The sequence below is a fragment of the Homo sapiens genome, chromosome 1 (genome assembly GCF_000001405.40).
Source record: "Homo sapiens chromosome 1, GRCh38.p14 Primary Assembly".
Lineage (NCBI taxonomy): Eukaryota > Metazoa > Chordata > Mammalia > Primates > Hominidae > Homo > Homo sapiens.
This window is the reverse complement of record NC_000001.11, coordinates 236,161,598-236,185,885: the sequence shown is the minus strand read 5'-3', so window position 1 is coordinate 236,185,885 and position 24,288 is coordinate 236,161,598. Positions and strand designations below refer to the sequence as shown.

General features: G+C 45.2%; 1 protein-coding gene across 2 annotated transcripts in view; it reads right to left on the bottom strand.

The window, feature by feature from the left end:
• GPR137B (G protein-coupled receptor 137B) overlaps nt 1–24,288 on the bottom strand; it is a 66,369-nt gene that overhangs the window by 23,022 nt on the left and 19,059 nt on the right. For both annotated transcript variants that reach the window (NM_003272.4, XM_017002209.3), the window contains exons 2-5: nt 17,131–17,180; nt 7,250–7,472; nt 5,858–6,007; nt 1,980–2,108 (exon numbers count right to left, since the gene is read on the bottom strand). In NM_003272.4, coding sequence (NP_003263.1) covers nt 1,980–2,108; nt 5,858–6,007; nt 7,250–7,472; nt 17,131–17,180 — 552 coding nt within the window. The remainder of the gene's footprint in view (nt 1–1,979; nt 2,109–5,857; nt 6,008–7,249; nt 7,473–17,130; nt 17,181–24,288) is intronic.

Sequence of the window (24,288 nt, the reverse complement as noted above, 5' to 3'; positions counted from 1 at the left end):
GAGATGATGAAAGTGTTCTAAAATTGGCTGTGGTGATGGTTGCACATATGTGAATATCCCCCAAACCACTCAATTATACACATGAAATGGGTGAATTATGTAAGTGAGTTACATCTCAATAAAGCTGTTTTTAAAAGACAAAAAACAGCCAGGAGTTTGAGACCAGCCTGGGCAACACGGCTCATGCAAGTAATCCCAGCTACATGCAAGACTAAGGCAAGAGAATCGCTTAAGCCCAGGAGGTCAAGGCTGAGGTGAGCTGTGATCGTGCCACTGCACTCCAGCCTGGGTGACAGAGCAAGACCCTGTCTCAAAAAAGAAAAGGATAAGGACAGAGATTCTCAAACTTTACAGTTCATTCAGATCACTTGGAGTGCTTATTAAAAATGTACATTCCCGGAACCTACCCCAGAGATTCTGGTCTGGGTCTCCAACATGACCTAAGAATCTTTACACCAAGCGCCCTGAGGGATTCGGATACAGATGGTAAAGAGCCGCACTTTGAGTATCTCGTTACCTAGACTCTGAAGTCTGGCTCTAATCATGCCAAGTTTAGAGACCTGTTTGTACCAAATGAATTATGGATACAAATGTTAGATGACATTTTTAAGAAATGCCCCACCTGCAGTGTATTCCTTTAAAGTTGAAGGGTTTGAGTTATAGATTTCCCCCCAAGAGTATTAGACTTTTTTCCCATGTAATTACAGAAGTTATAGATAGGACTATTAGGTCATCTATATTAAGAATATAATTTCTTCTCAAAACCTTATGATGCCAGAGAAAGCTACAGTGTAGCACAGGGATTAAAACCATGAACTCAGACGGGTGCGGTGGCCCACGCCTGTAATCCCAGCACTTTGGGAGGCTGAGGCGGTCGGATCACCTGAGGTCAGGAGTTCGAGACCAGCCTGGCCAACATAGTAAAACCCTGTCTCTACTAAAAATACAAAAATTACCCAGGCATGGTGGCGTGCATCTGTATTCCCAGCTACTTGGGAGGCTGAGGCAGGAGAATCGCTTAAACCCGGGAGGCGGAGGTTGCAGTGAGCTGAGATCGCGCCACTACACTCCAGCTTGGGTGACAGAGCAAGACTTCATCTCAAAAGAAAAAAAAACCAAAAAGCAAACAAACAAAAAAAACCACCATTGACTCTGGAACCAGAATGCTTGGTTTGAAGCCTGGCGGCTTCCAAAAACAAGATAAAAAAACAGGTCAGTCATCTGGGTATGAAATAAGAACTGTGAATTATTGGAGGACATTACTCATCTATGCCTTCTTCACCACCCGCTCTTTGCTCACATTGCCCCAAATCCACTCACTGTACTTTTCTATGGGTTTCATAGATCAGTAAGTCAAAAAGCTACCACTAGTTTGTGTGGCTGGAATAATTTACGGAACAAGGCTCCCAGGTGGTTTCTCACGCTACTTGGTTTTGCATTTTCTGTCCTGTCCCATAAAGACATTCATATAAAGTTGGTTGAACAGCAATGTGACCAAACTAGGGGAGCAGGTTTAGCATTCCTTACAATGATGTCTCTTATTGCCCTATCCTCCCATTCCCTAGTCGCCATCCGGCATACTATTTCCTATGAGTGTTCTCTATTTCCTATTTCTGTTTCTCTATTCTCTATTTTCCTTTGCTATGAGAGAAGCTTCTATACTTGGTTCACAGCAAGTCCAAGTCTCAAATACTAATGAGGCAATGGTGCATTAAAAGAAATAGTTAATCACTTTCCCCAGGCCTTAAGATGCAACTTATAATAGTTTCATTTCTTTTGTAAAATAAAACTAAGCTGAAAACCATTTTCCCTCAAAAGATAAGGGAAATGAATGTCTCAATAAAATAGTCAAGGAAACTTTTCATACCACCACAAAAGGAAGAGGCTCTCTTCTGAAAAATGAAGAAAAAGTTCTAATTGCAGGTTCCATGATCAGAATTAGGAGACATTTTCTTACAAATGTAAAATGGTTTACTTACAAGGTCCTTTGTAGGATTTCTAACTCGGAAGAAATAAACGACTAAGGTGGTAGGTAAGAGTTCCCAAACAAATAACACCACTCCAAATAATACGTATCCAGCATCTCCCAGCTGATTCTTCAAATCTGCCTGTTAGAAACAGACAGGGAGAGTCATCAGACCAAGGGAAGAGGAAATAAATTTGATTGTTTCTTTCTAATGTGAACAGAGAATAATTCTAATACTCTAGTACAATTCATTCCCCTATATTTTAGAATGTACTACCGAATATACTATATTAATACTTCTATTTAAAGTATTAAAATATAGTATAGTACATTCTCCTAAAATATGCACATTGAAATCAGATAATAGTAATGGTCTAGACCTCAGATACGGATTTTTTAAACCATATGAGATAAATGATTATCTTCTTCTTCAAAATATTCAAAGACAGAAACTTCTAACCTCTGATGTTTTAATATTTCATGCCCCCAAAACTCTTAAGTCCAAATTAACACTCTCACTTAAATCTAAGCTGATTTTCTTCAACAATTGAATAGTGAGAAGGTTATGTTGCCTCCTCCTAAATTCTTGGGAGCAGCATACAACTATTATCCCTTAGTCTCATCCCTAGGATAAAGAGGTCAACTTTCAAATGTTTCTTCACATAAACCATATCCTGTTGTTTACCCTTTAAAGCGTACTGTAGGCTAGCTTGTCTAGAAAAACAATCCACAGAGCCTAAGGTGTTTGGTATGAGGCCCAGTGAGATGGCCAGAGAGCTTGGTGGAGCAGTGTTCTCTCTTCAGAACAGACAGAAGGTTCCTGAGGAAAGCACATGGTTGGGTTTGGGCAATCGTAAAGGCCCAAACACCTAAACTTAACCCTTTTGCCTTCTCTATAACATCATACTTAAAGCATGGTGACCAAAACTACGCATGCTTCTTTCAGAAAGATCACTCTCTTACTTCCTCTATATCACATCTCCATCATGTGTTCTTTTTTGATTCCGCACAAGTAAGTCATACAACTGTGGTCATTTGTTTTGCTTGCTCCTAGATTATTTTGGTGGCAACACACATCTAGATAACCATAAATATCCCATAAAAATAGAAGAATTTTAAAGATTGTCATATTTTAAATCCACTGCAATTATAAATTTTATATATATATTTTTTGTTTGTTTGTTTGAGACAGGGTCTTGCTCTGTCACCCAGGATGGAGTGCAGTGGTGCGATCACACCTCACTGCAGCCTTCAGCTCCTGGGCTCAAGTGATCCCTCCAAGCAGCTAGGACTACAGGTGTGTGCCAACATGCCTGGGTTATTTTTTAATTTTAATTTTTTATTTTTTGTAGAGATGAGGTCTTGCTATGTTGCCAGGGCTGGTCTCAAACTTCTGGCCTCAAGTGATCCTCCCAAAATGCTGGGATTACAGGCCACTGCACCCACCCATAAATTTTTTTTGTTGTTTTTAAGTGAAAGCAAGATTAGGAAAGTAAAGAAAGAATGGCCACTCCTCCATATATAGAGTTTATAGGCAGAGCACCCATGCATTCTTACTTGAAGAAAAACTGAAGTAACTTTGTTAAACCCAAATCTTTGTTATTTAATGGATACAGAGTTTCAGTTTAGGAAGATGAAAAAATTCTAGAGATGGATGGTGATGATGGCTGCACAACACTGAGTGTACTTAATACCAGTGAACTGTACACTTAAAAATGGTTAAAATAGGGCCAGCCAACGGTGGCTGACGCCTATAATCCCAGCACTTTGGGAGGCCGAGGTGGGCGGATCATGAGGTCAGGAGTTCAAGACCAGCCTGGCCTATATGATGAAACCCGTCTCTACTAAAAATACAAAAAAATTAGCCGGCATGGTGGCGCTTGCCTGTATTCCCAGCTACTCAGGAGGCTGAGGCAGAAGAATCGCTTGAACCCGGGAGGCGGAGGTTGCAGTGAGCCAAGATTGTGCGGCTGCACTCCAGCCTGGTGACAGAGAGAGACTCCGTCTCAAAAAAAAAAAAAAAAAATAGCAAATATTATGTGTATTTTACTACAATACAAAATCAAATCCTTTGTGTATTATGATTGTCTCTAATTAATCATTGTTTAAAGTTTAGATTTTCATATACTTGATTTCCTCAAAATAGTGCACGCCCTTAGCAGTGCCTTGCCCAGCTTTCTGCCATCCTGTGTTTGTGGTGTTGGTTTGGGTTCAGAGATGTGGTTTTAATCCTTTCTAATTACAACACAATTTTACCTTGTCCTCACAGGTTTAGCTTATCATGATCATTTTATTCTTTCTTCCACTGTCTAAATCCAGCTCAGGGTTTGAGCACTATTGAGATGTTAGAAGATTTATAGATGGTTAGGTATTCAATACTTTTCCAAGAAAAGCTAAGGAACATTTGCCAATCAATCTAATAAATGTATAATAGAGAAGTTACATTTCTTTATTGTTAATGGCTAATCTGTGTGTCTCTTTTCCTTAGTGGACCATAAAGCTCCCAAAGGGCAGGGAATGAGTCTGTTCGGTTTTGTATCCCTGGCACTTTGCACAGTGCCCAAGATGAGGAAAAAAAAAAAATGCTGTTTGTCAAATGAGTGAATGGTGGTTCATTCTCATTGTTGCTTTGAGTTTTTGTGAGCATGGATGGCAGATGACATTTCACTACCTTTGTTCATTTGCTTTATGACTCGTAACTTATACATTTATAGAATGTATTTTTAAAAAGAGTATCATATTGCAACAACTAGTGCCATGAGCTTTTATAAAACTTTAATATCCTCAGTCACTTTTGTCTAGATTTTCTCAAATGCTGTGTACGTGCTCCATTAAAAAAAATTCACTCCCTGAGGATGACAAAAAAAACAAAAACATTCTCATAACTTCATAGTCCTATGTATTTTCTAAAGTCTGAATACAATTTGCTTACTATCTGCAAATGTCACCCTTTAATAATATCATCTTACATTTATATGGAAGCATGTTAAAAAAATTAAGTACTGGCTGGCACAGTGGCTTACGCCTGTAATCCTAGCACTGTGGGAGGCCGAGGCAGGTGGATCACCTGAGGTAGGAGTTCGAGACCAGCCTGGCCAACATGGTGAAACCCCATCTCTACTAAAAATACAAAAAATTAGCCAGGTATGGTAGTGGGTGCCTGTTATCCCAGCTACTCTGGAGGCTGACGCAGGAGAATTGCTTGAACCTGGGAGGCAGGTCGCGCCATTGCACTCCAGCCTGGGCAACAAGAGTGAAACTCCGTCTCAAAAAAAAAAAAAAAAAATTAAGTACTGCTTAATAAAAGCCCTAAGAGGGAGAATGGAGTGCAAAGTATGTGTGTACACATGTATGTGGATACATACACACAAATATGTAATCTCCTGGTTTTCTCAAAAGGGAACAAGGCAGGTGCTGTGATCCCATCTGACAGATGAGTTCAGATGCCACACAGGGAAGTGACCTCTCAAGGTCACTCAGTCATTCACCAGCAGAAACAAGGACCATGGACTTGTCTCCCATGTGAACCACTGAAATGCAAACAGTCGGCCCTCCATATCAGCGGGTTCCACATCTGCAGACTCAACCATCCACGGATCAAAAATATTTGAAAATAAAAAATACTAATAACAATTAAAAATAGAAATTTTCAAACAATGTAGTATAACAACTGTTTACATAGCATTTGTGTTGTATTTGGTATTGTAAATCATCTAGAGATTAATTTAAAGTATACAGAAGGATGCGTGTAGGTTATATGCAGATACTACACCATTTTATATCAGGGACTTGAGCATCCAGATTTTGGTATTTTCTGGGGTCCTGGAACCAATGCCTCGAGGATACCAAGAGTCCCTGGTCAGGTGACACCTCCTCAGCGCCCCCACTGACCTGGTCTGATACATTGTACCAGTCATAATCAAAGGAATGGACGCTCTTGTTCTGAGAAAATGACAGGATGAACAGGTTGTAGCAGGCCCGAGAGGTGTAAAGCAGTATCACGGTGACACCGATGGCAGTCACTTGACACACGGAGGAGCCCTGGAAAAGAGGGAGCAGAAGGTATGGGACACTCCAGGTCCAAGACACCAGCCCCTTCCCCAGCCCCCACCTGCTATCAGTCTGGTAAAGCCCTTTGGGATCTCAGAGCACTGTGATCTTGTTGGGTCTTCCATCAGAGTCCTTTTCACACTCCTTCTTCCTACAATTTCAAGTGTCTTCATATGGACCCTGGGACTTGGTTTGGAGATGCCTTTAACAGGGTTAAAATATGCACCATTTTCCCGTGGCCTAGAGTGTACGAGCAAGAAAGTCAGATGGCTGCTTTGCTAAATCTCTGATGGCCACTGCTCAGCTCCAAGAGGATCTTCTTGGCTTCCACACGCAGCAGGTGAGCCCGGGGCCAGGGCCTCTGGCTCAAGGAGGCAAGTAAACAATCTCAGAGGGACAATGGCTGGGGCAGAGCTCAGGACGGCTCTGTCTGGAATCTTTGAGGCCGGGAATACAGGAGCCCTAATGTGACTTTGGACTCGGAATTACCTGGAAATCAGTGATTTGTGCCCCACGTTATGAAGCTATCAATTTCCAAAGACAGTTAAAAGACCCCTGGCTCAAAATGGATAGTTAACATGACCAAAAAACTAAAACTGACTTTTGAGTACTGTATTAGACAGTCATTAACTAAACCTAAGATATTATTTTCTTTTGCCAGTAGTGCTTTGTTAGCTTGTGTGCCATAGGGGTGAGCTCAGTGGTATTCTGACAACCTATGATTCAACCCTTCCTATTAAAAACCACAGTTCTGTTGTTAAAAGCCTTGAGTAGTGCGGGCGCGGTGGCTCACACCTGTAATCCCAGTACTTTGGGAGGCCGAGGCAGGTGGATCACAAGGTCAGGAGATTGAGACCATCCTGGCTAACACAGTGAAACCCCGTCTCTACTAAAAATACAAAAAATTAGCCAGGCGTAGTGGTGGGTGCCTGTAGTCCCAGCTACTCAGGAGGCTGAGGCAGGAGAATGGCGTGAACCTGGGAGGCGGAGCTTGCAGTGAGCCGAGATCACCCCACTGCACTCCAGCCTGGGAGACAGAGTGAGACTCCGTCTCAAAAAAAAAAAAAAAAAAAAAAAAAAAAAACCTCGAGTAGCCCCTGTGTGGGAGACAATAAAACGGAGAAAGTCAAGGCAAAATCAAGTCTAAAATTCATCAAAATGTACTTTTGCAAACCAGGAAACTCTTTTTAGAACACGTTTCATGGGAGGGATCTTGACCACATTTCCACCTACCTTGGACTCCAAGTAAATGTTGGCTAAGGACATCTTAGAGATTTTGTAGAGACAGATGGAGAGAGAGACGGCACACAGCACGAAGAGCGTGTCATTAATGGCCACTCGCACAGAGACGATAACCTTCCTCTCCCAATTTCCCGTCTTTACCAGCACAGCACAGGTTAAATTCACCAACAGGAAAACAAGGCTGATGAAGAGGGAGGCCAGGTAGAGGGGCAACCTGGAAGGCATGAGAGCAACTTGTCAGCTGCACATCCCAGGTCAGTCTAGAAGGACACTGAGATGTGTTTTGGTGAACTGCTAGAAGCAGACACACCAAAGGTGACATTTAAGAGCTTGGACTCTGGCAATAGACGTTCCCAGATTCAAATTACAAACTGACCCCAAATTATGCCTCTGGATGGTCCTTTACCTCTCTGAACCCCACTTTCCCCATCTGTGGGATGTTGTGAGGACTGAGAGCTCACACTCGTTGGCTGGCGTGGACACTCGCTGAGCGCTCCCTACTCACAGCGAAGAGTGGAGAGCACAGCTCGGGATGGCGTTTTATAGGCATTCTGACAACTCCACATTGTTAGAATTAACTTAGACAAAATGCAACCTCTTGAGCCTTGGTTCCATCACTTGAAAATAAGACTACATAATACCTACCTTATGTATAGGTCTTTTGTGGGGATTAGGTGAGATAATGAATTTGTATAATGCATTTTACCCCCAAAAGTCATTATTGATGTGGAGTCCAGAGAGCGCTCACTTATGTGATTAAAAATCTGCCACAGGCCGGGTGCAGTGGCTCACCCCTGTAATCTCGGTCCTTTGGGAGGCCAAGGCAGGTGGATAGCTTGAGGTCAGGAGTTCAAGACCAGCCTGGCCAACATGGTGAAACCCCGTCTCTACTAAAGATACAAAAATTAGCTGGGTGTGGTGGCACGCACTTGTAATCCCAGCTACTCAGGAGGCTGAGGCAGGAGAATCACTTGAACCGGGAGGTGGAGGTTGCAGTGAGCCGAGATCGCGCCACTGCACTCCAGCCTGGGGCACAGAGCGAGGCTCAAGTCTCAAAAAAAAACAAAAACAAAAACAAAAAACTGCCACAGCAACTACCCAAGGATCAACAGATGCAAAACTCTACTTCACTGGCCATTTTTAACCTGTAGTTTCTCAGAGCTACACACTTCCTAAGTGACCTGTGTAAAATCTATGGAAAGACTAGGACATGGAAACTGGGATTCTAGTCCCAGCTCTAGACATGCCACTGATGATAAGTCGGTGGGTAGGGAGAGGGAGGGGGTAGAGAGAGAAAGAGGCAGACAGAGAAAAAGAGACAGAGAGGGGCAGGGGATATGGCCCAAAGAGACCTTGGTTCCAGCCCACCCAGGTCCATGCCCAGCTGCAGTTTTATTTCCTGCCCTCAGATTCCAGTGTGACATAACAACCCCCCACTTACTCAGGCTAATCCGAATGGCATTTTATGTCTTGTAATTAATAATTTACCCACTGGCAAAAATCTCTCACATAACTTTCAGAACCCAGTTCTACCAAAGAACTTTGTCTACCCGGCTCCTGCTCATCCTCTAGATCTTAGCTCAAACAGCACTGCAGCAAACACACCCCTGACCCTCCCTGTACCTCCTCACACGCACACACACCATGGGTACACAGGCAGTCAGGTTTCTCTGACATCTGCTCTCCTGGTCCCTCATATTTTAACTTCACAGACTTATCACAGTTTATAACAAAACAGACGGGTGACCATCTGATCAATGCCTGCGTCTCCCTAGACAGAAAGTCCCGTGGAAAATGAGACTCTCCATTTCCACTCTCTCCATCCACACTGTAGGTGGCAGGGTCTCCACGAAGAAGGTTTAAGAGGGAGGGAGGGAAGAAGGAAGGAGTCAGTCCAAAAAGCATGACGTCAGCTATCAAGGGCTGCCCTTTTATTTCCTATGAATGCTCTAAGCACAGTAGCTGCTAGATCTTCCCCTGGCTAGTGGGAAAACGACCCGTCACAGGGGAATTAAACAACTTTCTGGGGAGGCGGAAAGGACTGCAGGCTTCTCCCTGCACAGCCCTGTGCTGGGGGCTGGCTGCTCATCAGGCTCGTGCTGAGAGAGTGGGATGAAGATGAGGCAGCCCGGGCCCCCAAGCAGCTCAGGGGGCAGGAAGGTGCCACAGTAAGGAACGTGTGTGCCCTGGAGGAGGGACAAAGTACTTGCATCGGAGAGATGAGCGAGTCGGACATGCAGGAGGGGACCCGCCACCCCAGCATGGCTGCAGTGGGATGGGAACAGTGCCCCCCACCCCCCAAGAGCTGTGTGATGATGGAGAGCGCTGTGAAGTCTTAGGGATTCGACCTCATGTGTCATGATACACTCAGAGCTTTTCAAACAGAAACGTTAATGATTTGCCATGGACAGATTCTTTTCCAGGCCCTGATCGCTGAGCAAGGCCCCTCACTCTCTCATGTCACAGGCCCTGCTGTTCCCTCCGCACCTCCAACCTCTTCCCCACCAGACTGTGGGCATGAGAGGGGCAGCCCCACCCTCCCACATCCCCAGCCTCAAAATGCCATGCCGGGCTCCCACTAAGTGCCTATCCTTCAATTCTATGACACACTCTTTGCTTCATGTTTTCATGTTTCCACGGTCGGGATCATCTTGCACTATGGAACACTGTGCATTCAACATGGGAGTGTTTCTTCTCTTCCTGGAACCTGTTGTAAAGCCCTTGGTGTAGGTCAGAATCAGGAAACTGAAATTTGCATGCAACCTTCAGCCAGTCACCTAACCAAGCAAGCCCCGCTGCTTCCTCCTGTCTAGGGCTGGAGGTGTTCCGTGTCAGTCTCTTGAGGCCATGGAGTGGGCGAGGGAAATAATGCCTGTGGAGCTTTGAGGGCAGCCCCTGGCTTACAGGGAGGTATTACGGTTTTCATGTGCTCTGCCCCATGTTCTCTCAGTGATGGGGGAATCAGGGGAGGGGGGTATGGGCCAAAGGAGCTGTGGAGAGAGACAAAGGCAGGGCCGCTTGGGAGTTACCAAAAATCTGTATTCCAGATTCTCAAAAGCCCTGCTTTTATTGTTTTATCCGCTGTGCTTTTGTGAAGAGCGCTAGATGGAAACATCCAGAACCCGCGTGTACACACACTCCATGCAGCAGCCTCTGGGGAACGCACTGTCTGGCCACTTACATTTTCCAGATGATTCCTCGTGGGTGCTGTCTGAAATACAGTTGACCCTTGAGCAATACAGGTTTGAACTGTGCGGGGCCACTTATGTACGGATTTTCCTCCACTGCCACCCTTGACACAGCAAAACCTTCCTCTCCCCTCTCCTCCTCCACTTACTCAGCATGAACACAATGAGGATGAAGACCTTGATGATCACCCACTTCCACTTAATAAGTAGAAAATTTGTTTTCTCTTATGATTTTCTGTATTTTTTAAGAGACAGCATCTCCCTGTGTCACCCAGGTTGGAATGCAGTGGCACAATCATGGCTCACTGCAGCCTCGAACTCCTGACCTCAAGTGATCCTCCCGTCTCGGCCTCCCAAAGTGCTGGGATTACAGCTGAGAGCCACTGCACCTGGCCTACACTCTTCCTCAGAAAATATGCTTGTTTCTGTAGCTTCAATCATGACTTTTGTATGACTGAGTTCAAACATCTTTCGTCTCAAGCCATGCCTTTGATCTGAGTTCCAGACTCATTTCCCTAACAGCCTGCCATTCGGAGGCCCTGCCCCCTCAAGCCAGCATGTCCCAAACTCAATTCCCAATGTCCTTTTTTTCTGAGTTGGGGTCTTGCTCTGTCACCCAGGCTGGAGTACAGTGATGCAATCCTAGCTCACTGCAGCCTTGAACTCCTGGGCTCGAGCGATTCTCCCACTTCAGCCTCCTGAGTAGCTAGAACTACAAGTGCATGCCACTGCACCCAGCCCCAGTGTCCCTCTTCTAGCACGCCTCTAAGTGTTCCTATTTCTGTTAAAGGTGCCATAGCTTTTCATAGACTCTAACTGTAATGTTCTTCTTTGATTCCATCCACCCCCTATATAATCCATTGTCAAGGTCAGTAGATTCTTCATTCCCACTCTATCCATGCCTCCTGTGCCAGCCTCACACAGTCTCATGCCTCTGACCAGAACTAATGTAGTTTCCTAATTCATCTTTGCCCTAAAGCCCCACCCCGCATCTTCCAGAACCCAGCACTCAAGAGGCAGCTCAATCTATGGACAGGCTACGTGCTCATCAAGCTGGTCAACTCCATGTTTTAAACATGGCCAGGTGTCTCCACCTCCTGTCTTTCTGCAAGCTGACTTTTCTGCCTGGAACCTTCCTCCTTCTTGATTTTTATCTATCAAATCCTATTCTCAGAGCCTTTAGGAGGCTTTGTTTAGTCTACTCAACAAAAGCCTGTTATTATCTTAGGAAAGGAGGCTGTGTTGGGAGATTTAAAACAATATGGAAAAATATGTGTGACCTAACATCAAGTTAAAAAGTCAGGATGCAAAATTGGAAATGCAATATAGACATCAACTTTGTCTTGGGAAATCTGTATAAAAACCTATAATGGAATACATCATTGTATTTCCTTAGGGCTGGAGGGGGGTTTATGCTGGGAGGAGGGAAAGTTCAGTGGACTTGCTTGCTTTCTTTCCACATGTCTATATTCACAAAATGTCTATCTTTTTCTATTGTATAATTTTTTTCCTAATATCCTTGTTATCACTTTTATAATGCAAAACCATCTTGCAAAACAAGTTTTTTTCCCTCTATGCCTGCAGCTGTGGTAGAAAGGGAGCGATCTGGAGGTGTGGCGAGAGAGTTTTCAAAGGAGGCCAGAATAAACTGTATCAAAAAAGTATGTTTCCACAGAAAGAATTTTGTACACTGCCCCCAATACTACTGCCTTTTAACCTAAACCATAGGGCCAGGATAAATAGCTCATCCTGGCATGATGACAGAAATGACCCAAAGAAATAAAACAATCAGTGTGACCCAGCATCTGGGAAGACCACATTGCTTGTGGGACCAGAAGGATCAGTGCTGCTGGTCAGCAAATGCAGGGATGAGGCGAGTCTTCAAGGCAGCCAACACAACAGTGCCCGACACCTCCTACTGTGAGAGGACAGAAGCAAGGGGTAAAGCATTGTTTAAATTTATCTCCCAATACCATCGATTCCTTCCTTCCTTTCTTCCTCCTTCCCTCCCTCCCTCCTTCCTCTCTCTCTCTCTCTCTTTCCCTACCTGTCTTTCTCTCTTTCCCTTCCTTCGTTTCTTCCTTTCTCTCTCTCTCTTTCCCTCCCTCCCTTCCTTTCATCCTTTTCTTTCTTCTTTTTTTTTTTTTTTGAGACAGGGTCTTGCTCTGTCACCCAGGCTGGAGAGCAGGAGTGCAATCACAGCTCACTGCAGCTTCAACCTCCTAGGCTCAAGCGAGTCTCTCACCTCAGCATTCCAAGTAGCTGGGAATACAGGCGCGCACCACTACGCCCAGCTGATTTTTTTATTTTGTAGAGATGGGATCTTGCTCTGTTGTCACGGCTGGTCTTGAACTCCTGGGCTCAAGTGATGCTCCCACCTCAGCCTCCCAAAGTGCTGGGATTACAAACATGAGCCGCTGCTTTTTCACTTAAAGAAAGGGAAAAGCATGCCAGGCATGGTGGCGTGTACCTGTAATCCCAGCACTCTGGGAGGCTGAGGCGGGAGAGTCGCTTGAGTCCAGGAATTCAAGACCAGCCTGGGCAACATAGCAAGAACCTGTCTCTAAAAAAAAAAAATTTTTTTTTAATTAGCTGGATGTGGTGACATGCACCTGTATTCCCAGCTACTCAGGAAGCAGAGGCAGGAGGATCGCTTGAGCCCAGGAGATTAAAGCTATAGTGAGCTATGATTGCACCACCGCCACTGCACTCCAGCCTGGGTGAGACCTTGTCTCTTAAAAAAAAAAAAAAAGGAAAACCTGGCTCACTGTATTTTTTACTTATTTAAAAAAATCACAAAGCTAGAGGGCAAACAGTTGGAAATGATTACTCCCATGCCAAATGTTCACATTTCTTAAACCAAATAAATTAAAATACATAGACTGAGAAAGAGAAAGCCTGAATTAAATTGCCTTCCACTCCAGCAAAACTCTGAGCTAGCAGATGTGGGAGGGTAGAGGTGATTTTAAGTGAAAAATAAAGTGGTTCTTGGCTGAGTTAAATATAAATTATCTTCAAAACCAGTGAATTACTACAGGAATAGATTGGAGTGGAAAGTTTCAACTAGTTCTAGACTAATGGCTCATGTTTTATTTCAAGTGAGTTATGATTAAATGAGGGAAGCCAATCTATTTAGAAGCCAACATACCAAAGCATCTCAAGGGAGAGATTGTGGCCTGAAATGTCTCTAGTGGCATCTGGTTTAAGAGAACTGAGGAATTCTATAGATGAGACTAAAGATGTGCCTACACAGGAATAACTCCTAGTATTTCTTTATATTTGGCAACAAAATCACTAGGACTGGGTTAACAGGCATGTCCCATTGAAACCTCACCCTCCTGTTTCAAGGAACTCTCCAACTTCACTGGCCTAAACATCTCACTTTTTTTTTTTTTTTTTGAGATGGAGTTTTTGTTCTTGTTGCCCAGGCTGGAGTGCAATGGCACAATCTCGGCTCACTGCAACCTCAACCTCCTGGGTTCAAGTGATTCTCCTGCCTCAGCCTCCCAAGTAGCTGGGATTACAGGCATGCGCCATCATGCCTGGCTAATTTTTGTATTTTTAGTGGGATTTCACCATGTTGGCCAGGATGGTCTCAAACTCCTGATCTCAGGTGATCTGCCTGCCTCGGCCTCCCAAAGTGCTGGGATTACAGGCATGAGCCACCGCGCCCAGTCCCAAACATCTCACTTTTAACATCTGGATCCAAATTTATTTCTCCCCATCTTCTCCCTTCATTTCTGTGAATCCCTTCCCAATAAAATGCAGCCATACATGTCAGCGCAGCCTGTCTTTGAGGTATACTTTGGCTCAAGGATCAAGCAAGGACTGCCCCACGCACATATCTTCTCACCCGAAGACCCCAGTCCCCGTGCTCAGAGGTTGAAAGCTTTTTAAACAATTTCCTTTCTGACCAGTGCTTTTATATTCCACCTCTAGAAGACATCTAATTACCCCAGCCTCAACTGCTTCCAAGATAAAATCAGTTCCACGGTCCGATCAGACAGAATGTTCTCCTCCTATGCCCATCTTCACTCATGCTTTGACCTACATTTCTGGCTGGGGGGATGCAGGGCAAAGACTATAGATGCAGAGGAGAGGCTACTATCTTGTTACTGGAGAAGAGAGGGAACTGTCTACTTGTACTTTATACAGGTTGACCATCCCTAACCCAAAAATTCAAAATCCGAAATGCTCCAAAATCTGAAACTTTCTGAGCATCAATCAACCTGATGCCACAACTGGAGAATTCCACACCTGACTTCATGTGATGGATTGCAGTCAAAACACAGTTACAACTGTTTTATGCTGAGTTATTTAAAATGTTGTATAAAGTTGCCTTCAGGATATGTGTATAAGGTGTATCTGAAACATAAATACATTTCGTGTTAGATTTGTGTCCCATCCAATCCCCCCATCTCTCATTATGTATACAAAAATATCTTTTTCCTTTTTTTTTTTTTTTTGAGACAGAGTCGCTGTGTTGCCCAGGCTGGAGTGCAGTGGCATGATCTCCACACACTGCAATCTCCACCCCTTAGGCTTAAGCGATTCTCCCAACTCAGCCTCCTGAGTAGCTGGGATTACAGGCACCTGCAACCACGCACAGCTAATTTCTGTATTTTTAGTAGAAACGGGGTTTCACCATGTTGGCCAGACTGGTCTCAAACTCCTGACCTCAAATGACCTACCTGCTTCGGCCTCCCAAAGTTCTGGGATTACAGGAGTGAGCCACCGTGCCCGGCCTGTATATGCAAATATTTCAAAATCCAAAAAAATCTGAAATCTGAAATATTTTTGGTCCCAAGCATTTCAGATTAGGGACACTCAACCTGTACTTTAAATTGCTCTCCTTGGGACCAACATCATTTCACAGTGGACGCTGAAGTTCCACCTGAGCCTGGTAGAGACGTGAACTGAGCCACGTACAAAGCAGTGAAGGGAGACAGCAAGATCAGGTGAAAAACAAAACAAAACCCGGGACGGTGAGTCTTGGGACTTGTATCTTGGCCCAGGCACCTTCACAGAACTTTCTGAACTTGAGAGAAACCTTCTGAACTGGTTTCCTTGGATATAAACTCAGGATTAAACTATTACACCTTCAGAATTTTAAGTAAAAAGTCTTTACATATTTTTAGATGATATATATTTAAATAAAATATGTATACGATTTAACATATTTTAAAAAATGACAAAATAATTTTTCATTTTGACCCAAGGAGGCAATGGCCAGAGTCACCTTTTCAGAAATGTTTGCCGTTGGCAATGGAGTTCTCCCGGGCAGAAACGCCAGAACCCCTGGACTCACACTGCACCCCCGCGCCTCTTCCAGAGGCCTGTTCTCCTCCCCCAACCCCAGTCAAACCTGACCATTCTTTTTTTTTTTTTTTTTTTTTTTTTGAGATGGATTCTCACTCTGTTGCCCAGGCTGCAGCACAGTGGTGCAATCTTGGCTTACTGCAACCTCTGCCTCCTGAGCTCAAGTGATTCTCCCACCTCAGCCTCCTAAGTAGCTGAGACAACAGATGTGCGCTACCTCGCCCGGCTAATTTTTGTATTTTTAGTAGAGACAGGGTTTCACTATGTTGGCCAGGCTGGTCTCGAACTCCTGACCTCAAGTGATCAGCCCACCTCGGCCTCCCAAAGTGCTGGGATTACAGGCGTGAGCCACCGTGCCCAGCCAAACCTGAGTATTCTTTAAGCCACTGGTTCTTGGCCTTAGGAAAGTCATAGGCCTCTCCCCTCTGGGGAGAGCTACGAACCCCTCCATAGGAAAATGCAGATCCCCCTCCTCACATAACTTAAGAGGTTCCCTTCCAGATTACACTCTGGCACAAGCCTCTCTTCCACAAAATGTCCATGCCTCCCGGTGTCCATGTTTTTGGCATGTTGCACATCCTGCTCTGCCTGATTCTGCAAGCCTTTGTGTTAAGCCATTGTTACAAATATAGAGTGTCCACTTCTCAGCTATAACACATTCTTCCTCCTGGTGCCTAAATGAGCACTGAATGGTCAGAACAGTATTTCTGGATGTGGATGGATACCCTGCAAGCAGCTGTGTAGCAACTTAGGGTTCAATGGGCACTGAAGTTCTGGAAAACAAGGAGCCGGAGCCTACCAGCAGCTGAGACAAGGCGGGTAAGGCCACCAGGTGGCAGGCTGCAGGGGCGAGGCCCTGCCACAGCTGCACCTGCACCTGCACCTGCACCTGTACCTGTACCTGTACCTGCACCTGCACCTGCACCTGCACCTGCACCTGCACCTGCAGTGGGAGCATGGGAGGTGCGGGATGGGGAAGGGGAAGCACCTGGCAAAGCACTGCATCTTCAAGGAACCCTGTTTCCTTCTGCTGAGGCTCTTCTCAAGTGCCTCAGGAAGGTTTAGAGGCAACATACACCTATTTTATTCCCATGTATTTCCTCCTGTTAGGAAAGGCACCAGGCTCTTGTTTCTGAACTGGGTAAGTATGATGCAAGTCCCCATGATTCATGAAGTCATGATCTGATGACCTGACCCTTACCGGCAATGCACATGATGTGCACAATGTGGGCAGCCAGCCAGCAGGCAGGACTGTTTCCGGCGGCTCACAGAACAGCGATGTGTGCAAACCCCAATGGAGAGATGAGATTCATGTGTCGGCACTTTCCCCTTCTACCACAGAAAGAGATGCCCTGCAGTACTTACCGGTATTTGAGTAATTCTGGAGAATATTTTGACTTGGCTTTGAAAATCACCTGCAACGACAGAAAAGCATGGCAGGTTGGGGTCCAATATGTTGACAGAACCAGACTGATACCATCACTGGGAATTCCTCTGCCCCTTCATCCCCCAGCGCTGGGCACGTTTTTTATAATTGAAATGTCCACGTTTGTTATGCCAAACATTTCTTATGTTGCACATACAGTTTTAATAGTAAAGGAATTCGAACATGGTTAAAAAAGAAAACAAAACTAAATGTATTACTAGTCTACCATGGCCAAGTACTTCTGTTCAGATTCTTTTTTTTTTTTTTTTTCGAGACAGAATTTCACTCTTGTTGCCCGAGCTGGAGTGCAATGGCGCCATCTCGGCTCACTGCAACCTCTGCCTCCCGGGTTCAAGTGATTTTCCTGCCTCAGCCTCCCAAGTAGCTGGGATTACAGGTGTCACCACACCCAGTTAATTTTTGTATTTTTAGTAGAGATGGGGTTTCACCATGTTGGCCAGGCTGGTCTCGAACTCCTGACCTCAGGTGATCTGCCCACCTCAGCCTCCCAAAGTGCTGGGATTACAGGTGTGAGCCACCACACCCGGCCTTAAGATTCTTATTTAAGATAAACAAACAGTCCACTCTCTTTATTAGAATTTTTGCTGGCACCAAATTAGTAAGTGTCTGCCTACCCAGGCCTCAAACTTTGCAGTACATTTAAAATAACAAAACATCTTTGGACAAAAGAAGTATCAAATTGGACTGTTTTCTGAAACAGAAATATTGCAGACTGGCATTTCTCAAGCTCTTTTCTAAGTCTTCACAATTGCTGGATTGCCCACACACACTGGATGGCAGAGAGCCTGGCAGAGCCTTCGAGAAGGTGAAGAGGAGGCAGAAGGTAGGTGTCCACGCATGCTTCCACGCCCCAGACAAGGAGGCTGCTACTGCTACAGCACGTGCTGGAGATTCAAGCAGGGGCTCAGGCTCATGGGGATCTCAGTGGGGGGTCTCTGGGGACTAGGGTAGCCTGTGGAGCAGTTACACATGAGCACATGGATCCCTGGTGTTTAACAGGGTTGCAATACAGTACTGGGAGAAGGAAAGAAAGGGTGTGGAAGACTGGAGGAGAGAGGACAGCTTTTCAGAAACAATCTGTCAAGCATCTGAAGACGCCCATTCCGGCAAGTCTGGACTCTTTGACCAACATCTCTCCATTCTCCTGCCGCACCCCTCATCCCCCAGCCCCTGACAACCACCACTGTACCACTGTACTCTCTGTTTCTATGAGTTCTAACTTGTTTGGATTCCACATATAAGCGGGATCTATTTGTCTTTCTGTGACTGGCTTATTTCACTTAGCGTAGTGTCCTCCAGCCACGTTGAGTAAGTCCTGGGGAGCTCTCCTACAGCGTGGTGACTACAGTCAGTAACAATGTATTGTTTACTCGAAATTTGCTAAGAGAGATCTTAAGTGTTCTCACCACAAAACAAGGGTGGGCAACTGTGTGAGGTGATGGATATGTTGTTAACTAGCTTGATTGTGGGAATCATTCCTTATGTACATGTATTATCAAAACATCACGGTGCACACTTTGAATATATTCCGTCTTTGTCAATTATACTTCAATGAAGCCGGGGCGGGGAAAGAAGACTCACATTCCCCACTTGCAAGCAAACTGCTCTCCATGGAGTTCCTAAACCTACCCTCGGCCTCGGGGCCTTTCCTCCCACAGCCCCCTGAAGCTCCTGAACCCCGGTGCTCAACGTGCATACCCGCCTGGTCCTCCTCTCCCTCATGAATCCCCCAGTCACATCTACTCTCCGCTGCTTCTCAGGGAGGAGGCTGAAATGGGAGGATCGCTTGGGCCCAGGAGTTCAAGACCACCCTCACCAATATAGTGTGAGGCCTCAGCTCTTAAAAAAAGAACCATAAGATAATGATCTTATGACGGCCAGGCACAATGGCTCACGCCTGACCTCAAGTGCCCCACCCACCTCGGCCTCCCAAAGTGCTGGGATTACAGGCGTTAGCCACTGTGCCCGGCCATTCCTAAAGATTTCTAAGTAAGCACCTCTTCCCTTTTATAACCTCCTCCGAGCTTCATAGGTGAGGCTTCCAACCTTCTAGAAGAATTATTTGGTTCTGCTATGAGTTTTCTCTCTGTCATAAATCCTTTTTGCAAGTAGGTAGGAGGCAGGGATTTACACCTGTATATATATAAATATATATAATGTATATATATAAATATATATATGTATATATAAATATATATAATGTATATATTTAATATACATTAAAATATTTTTCTCTGGTAACGGCACAATAGATGGCTCAGTACAGTGACCCTTCTTTAAAGGAGTCCTGGTTCCACTTTATCTGACAACCCACCACGGGATTTTAGGCAAGACACGTCACCTTTGGTATTTCTCTGACATCCGTAAAAAGAAACGTTACCAAACAACCTCTCTTAGAAACAAGAAATAGATTAATACATGACTCCAAAGTTCCATTACAAAATATGCTACTGATTTCACACAACACAGAACAATGCCTTTCTGTTAAACAGTCCTGAGGGATCTTGCTTTTAATAACTGAGGCTTCTTCACAAATGCCAAAGTGAGAAGAAGAAACTACAGAATTTTTTAAAAAATGTTTGACCCGTTCAATATAAAAATCTGTTTTGATATTTTGCCCACTTAGTGGGGTTTACCAAGCGGTAGGTAACCCAGTCCAGCACGCCTGGATTACTCTTACCCAACACACGAAGTGGCTGTATTGCAGCGCTCCTGGCCACCATACATAAATGTTCATATGCTTTGCCCCAACAATTCCACTTGTAAGAATTTATTCTGAGGCAGGCCTTCTCAAGGTGTTCCAGCAGAACTGGAAATTGGTAAGAAATATTACCGAAAATAAATGTCACGTGATCAAATTTAGAAACTGCTAGGAAAACTTTTTCCCCCTGCAGGAATTGTCAGAGCCTTTCAAAGGCAAATATATTGTCAATCTTCAAGAGAAACATACGGTATACAGCGGTTTTCCAAATCTATTTGACCAATTACAGTCTTCCTAATGAGTGTTCCCGGGAATAGAGTTTGGGAAGCACTGCGCTATGGAACCAAGTATGAACAGAAGGTTCACTGCAGCCTTAATAAGAGTAACGATAACAACAACAAAGGAGAAGCAACAGCAACTTTAAGATGCTCCCCAGCCCTTACCCCATGAACATGAACACAGATCAAGCAATGCACTGAGTACAAGAGGGCCCTGGAGTTCACCATTCTAGCCCTGAAAGGGAAGGATGACTTACGCCAGCCAAGATGCGGATAACTCACAAACCCTTACTCATTTCATCACTAGGGCCACCTCCCTGCCTGGAGGGAAAAAGTCATCACATATCAAGGCACAATCTGATGTTAAATCAGTCATTTTCATCCTCCCAAGCTCAAAGCCATGGTGCAAACATCAAAATAAAAGCCTTGACCATGGTTTTGAAAAGCTCTATCCACTTCTTATAATTTGTGGCAATATATCTTGAATTCAGGCTGGGTGCAGTGGCTCACGCCTGTAATCCCAGCACTTTCAGAGGCTGAGGCAGGCGGATTGCCTGAGGTCAGGAGTTCAAGACCAACCTGGCCAACATGGTGAAACCCTGTCTCCTCTAAAACTATAAAAATTAGCTGGGTGTGGTGGCAGGCACCTGGAATCCCAGCTACTTGGGAGGCTGAGGCAGCAGAATTGCTTGAACCCGGGAGGCAAAGGTTGCAGTGAACTGAGATCACACCATTGCACTCCAGCCTGGGCAACAAGAGCAAAACTCCATCCATCTCTCTCTCTCTCTCTCTCTCTCTCTCTCTCTCTTGAATTCATCTGGGCACTATTCAAGCTGTGCTGAGAAACTCTTCCTTAATCCTTCAAGTTAATTCCTAAACTTAAGTTCTTTAAAGTTGTGTTTGAATTCCTGGCATGTGAAACTGAAATTATATATATATGTACTTACATTATCTATATAACTTATTATATAGATAATATCAACAAACGCACATATAATTTCAGTACAACTTTTGCCCTCATTAATTAAAGGGCATAAACCAAGTTTTCAAAAACAAAAATCTAAACTCTCCCACCCACTCCCCTCTGTGTTCTGAGAGACTTTGCTAAAGACTGGTGGGTGTCCGGAACTTGAGCTAAAGCTCCTGGCTCACCCTGGCTCTCTGGCCGGCTGGGCTCTCATATCCGGCTGCCCATTTCTGCCAGTCTGCACTGGCTCCCACTGACCTTGGCAGGAACTCAGCTGGGAGGGGCGACGGCTCCTGTGGGGAGGCAGACGTGAATTCTGCTGTCATACTCTCTGGTGCTTTGACAGCACGGGCACCTCCTGCTCAGTGTCCCCAGATGTACAAGAATGAAAAAGAGGGAGGTGTGACCCCTATGAGAGGCTAAGGAACAAATGAGGCCAGATGAAAATTTACATCATCCTGGCTTTCCAATTGGTGGTGTTCAAGTCAGGTCAACTGATACTCAGCACTGAGTCTGCATCAGACCCTGGGTTGGACCCAAGAATTGTAAAAAGGAGGAGAAGCTGGGCCTGTCCCAGAGAAATACACAGGCAGACAGACATGTCAGTAATAAGCACCAGTGGTGTGAGGAGGTGTAGGAAGTGTGAGAGGTGTGGGGAGGCATGGGGAGGTGTGGAGAGGCATGGGGGCTGTGAGGAGGTGCTGAAAAGTGTGAGGAGGCATGGGAGGTGTGAGGAGGTATGAGAGGTGTTGAAAGCATGGGGAGGTGTGGGAGGTGGGAGGAGATGGGAGGAGATGTGAAAAGTGTGTCGAGGTATGGGAGGTGTGGGAAGTGTGAGGCAGTATGGGAGGTGTGAGGAAGTGTGAAAAGTGTGGAGGCATGGGAGGTATGAGGAGGTATATTAGTCTGTTTTCATGCTGCTGATGAAGACATATCTGAGACTGGGAAGAAAAAGAAGTTTAATTGGACTTACAGTTCCACATGGCTGGGGAAGCCTCAGAATCACAGTGGGTGGCGAAAGGCACTTCTTACATGGCAGCAGCAAGAGAAAAAAATGAGGAAGAAGCAAAAGCGGAAACCCCTGATAAACCCATCAGATCTCCTGAGACTTATTCACTATCACAAGAATAGTACAAGAAAGACCGGCCCCCGTGATTCAATTACTTCCTCCCAGGTCCCTCCCACAACACATGGGAATTCCGGGAGATACAATTCAAGTTGAGATTTGGAGGGGGACACAGCCAAACCATATCATTCCATCCCTGGCCCCTCCTAATCTCACGTCCTCACATTTCAAAACCAATCATGCCTTCCCAACAGTCCCCAAAAGTCTTAACTCATTTCAGCATTAACCCAAAAGTCCACAGTCCAAAGTTTCATCTGTGATAAGGCAAGTCCCTTCTGCCTATGAGCCTGTAAAATCGAAAGCAAGCTAGTTACTTCCTAGATACAATGGAGATACAGGCATTGGGTAAATACAGCCGTTCCAAGTGGGAGAAAGTGGCCAAAACAAAGTGGTTACAGGGCCCATGCAAGTCTGAAATCCAGCAGGTCAGTCAAAGTTTAAAGCTCCAATATGATCTCCTTTGACTCCAAGTCTCACATCCAGGTCACAGTGATGCAAGAGGTGGGTTCCCATGGTCTTGGGCAGCTCCACCCCTGTGGCTTTGCAGGGTACAGCCTCTCTCCCGGCTGCTTTCACGGGCTGGTGTTGAGTGTCTGTGGCTTTTCCAGGAGCGCAGTGCAAGCTGTCGGTGGATATACCATTCTGAGGTCTGGAGGACAGTGGCCCTCTTCTCACAGCTCCGCTAGACAGTGCCCCAGTAGGGACTCTGTGTGGGGGCTCCGACCCCACATTTCCCTTCTGCACTGCCCTAGCAGAGCTTCTCCATGAGGGCCCCACCCCCACAGCAAACTTTTGCCTGGGCATCCAGGCATTTCCATACATCTTCTGGAATCTAGGCGGAGGTTCCCAAACCTCAGACCTTGACTTCTGTGCACCTGCAGGCTCAATAACACATGGAAGCTGCCAAGGCTTGGGGCTTCCACCCTCTGAAGCCACAGCCCGAGCTCTACGTTGGCCCCTTTCAGCCATGGCTGGAGCAGCTGGGACACAGGGCACGAAGTCCCTAGGCTGCACACAGCATGGGGACCCTGGGCCCAGCCCACAAAAGGGACTTAAGGCTTATGATGGGAAGGGCTGCCATGAAGGTCTCTGACATGGCCTGGGGACATTTTCCCCATGGACTTGGGGATTAACGTTAGGCTCTTTGCTACTTATACACATTTCTGTAGCGTGCTTGAATTTCTTCCCAGAAAATGGGTTTTTCCTTTCTATTGTATAGTCAGGCTGCAAATTTTCTGAATTTTTATGTTCTGTTTCCCTTTTAAAACTGAATGCCTTTAAGAGTACTGAAGTCACCTCTAAATGCTTTGCTGCTCAGAAATTTCTTCTGCCAGATACCCTAAATCATCTCTCTGAAGTTCAGTGTTCCACAAATCTCTAGGGCAAGGGTAAAATGCCACCAATCTCTTTGCTAAAACATAACCAGAGTCACCTTTGCTCCAGTTCCCAAAAAGTTCCTCATCTCTATCTGAGACCACCTCAGCCTGGATTTTATTGACCATATCACTATCAGCATTTTGGGCAAAGCCATTCAATAAGTCTCTAGAAAGTTCCAAACTTTCCCACATTTTCCTGTCTTCTTCTGAGCCCTCCAACTGTTGTAATCTCTGTCTGTTACCCAGTTCCAAAGTTGCTTCACATTTTTGGGTATCTTTTCAGCAACACCCCACTCCTGGTACTAATTTACTGTATTAGTCCATTTTCACACTGCTGATAAAGACATACCCGAGACTAGGAAGAAAAAGAGGTTTAATTGGACTTAACAATTCCACATGGCTGGGGAGGCCTCAGAGTCATGGCAGGAGGCAAAAGGCATTTCTTACATGGCGGCGGCAAGAGAAAAAAAATGAGGAGGAAGCAAAAGCAGAAACCCCTGATAAACCCATCAGATCTTGTGAGACTTATTCACCATCACAAGAATAGCATGGGAAAGACCAGCCCCCATGATTCAATTACCTCCCTGTGGGTCCCTCCCACAACACTTGGAAATTCTGGGAGATACAA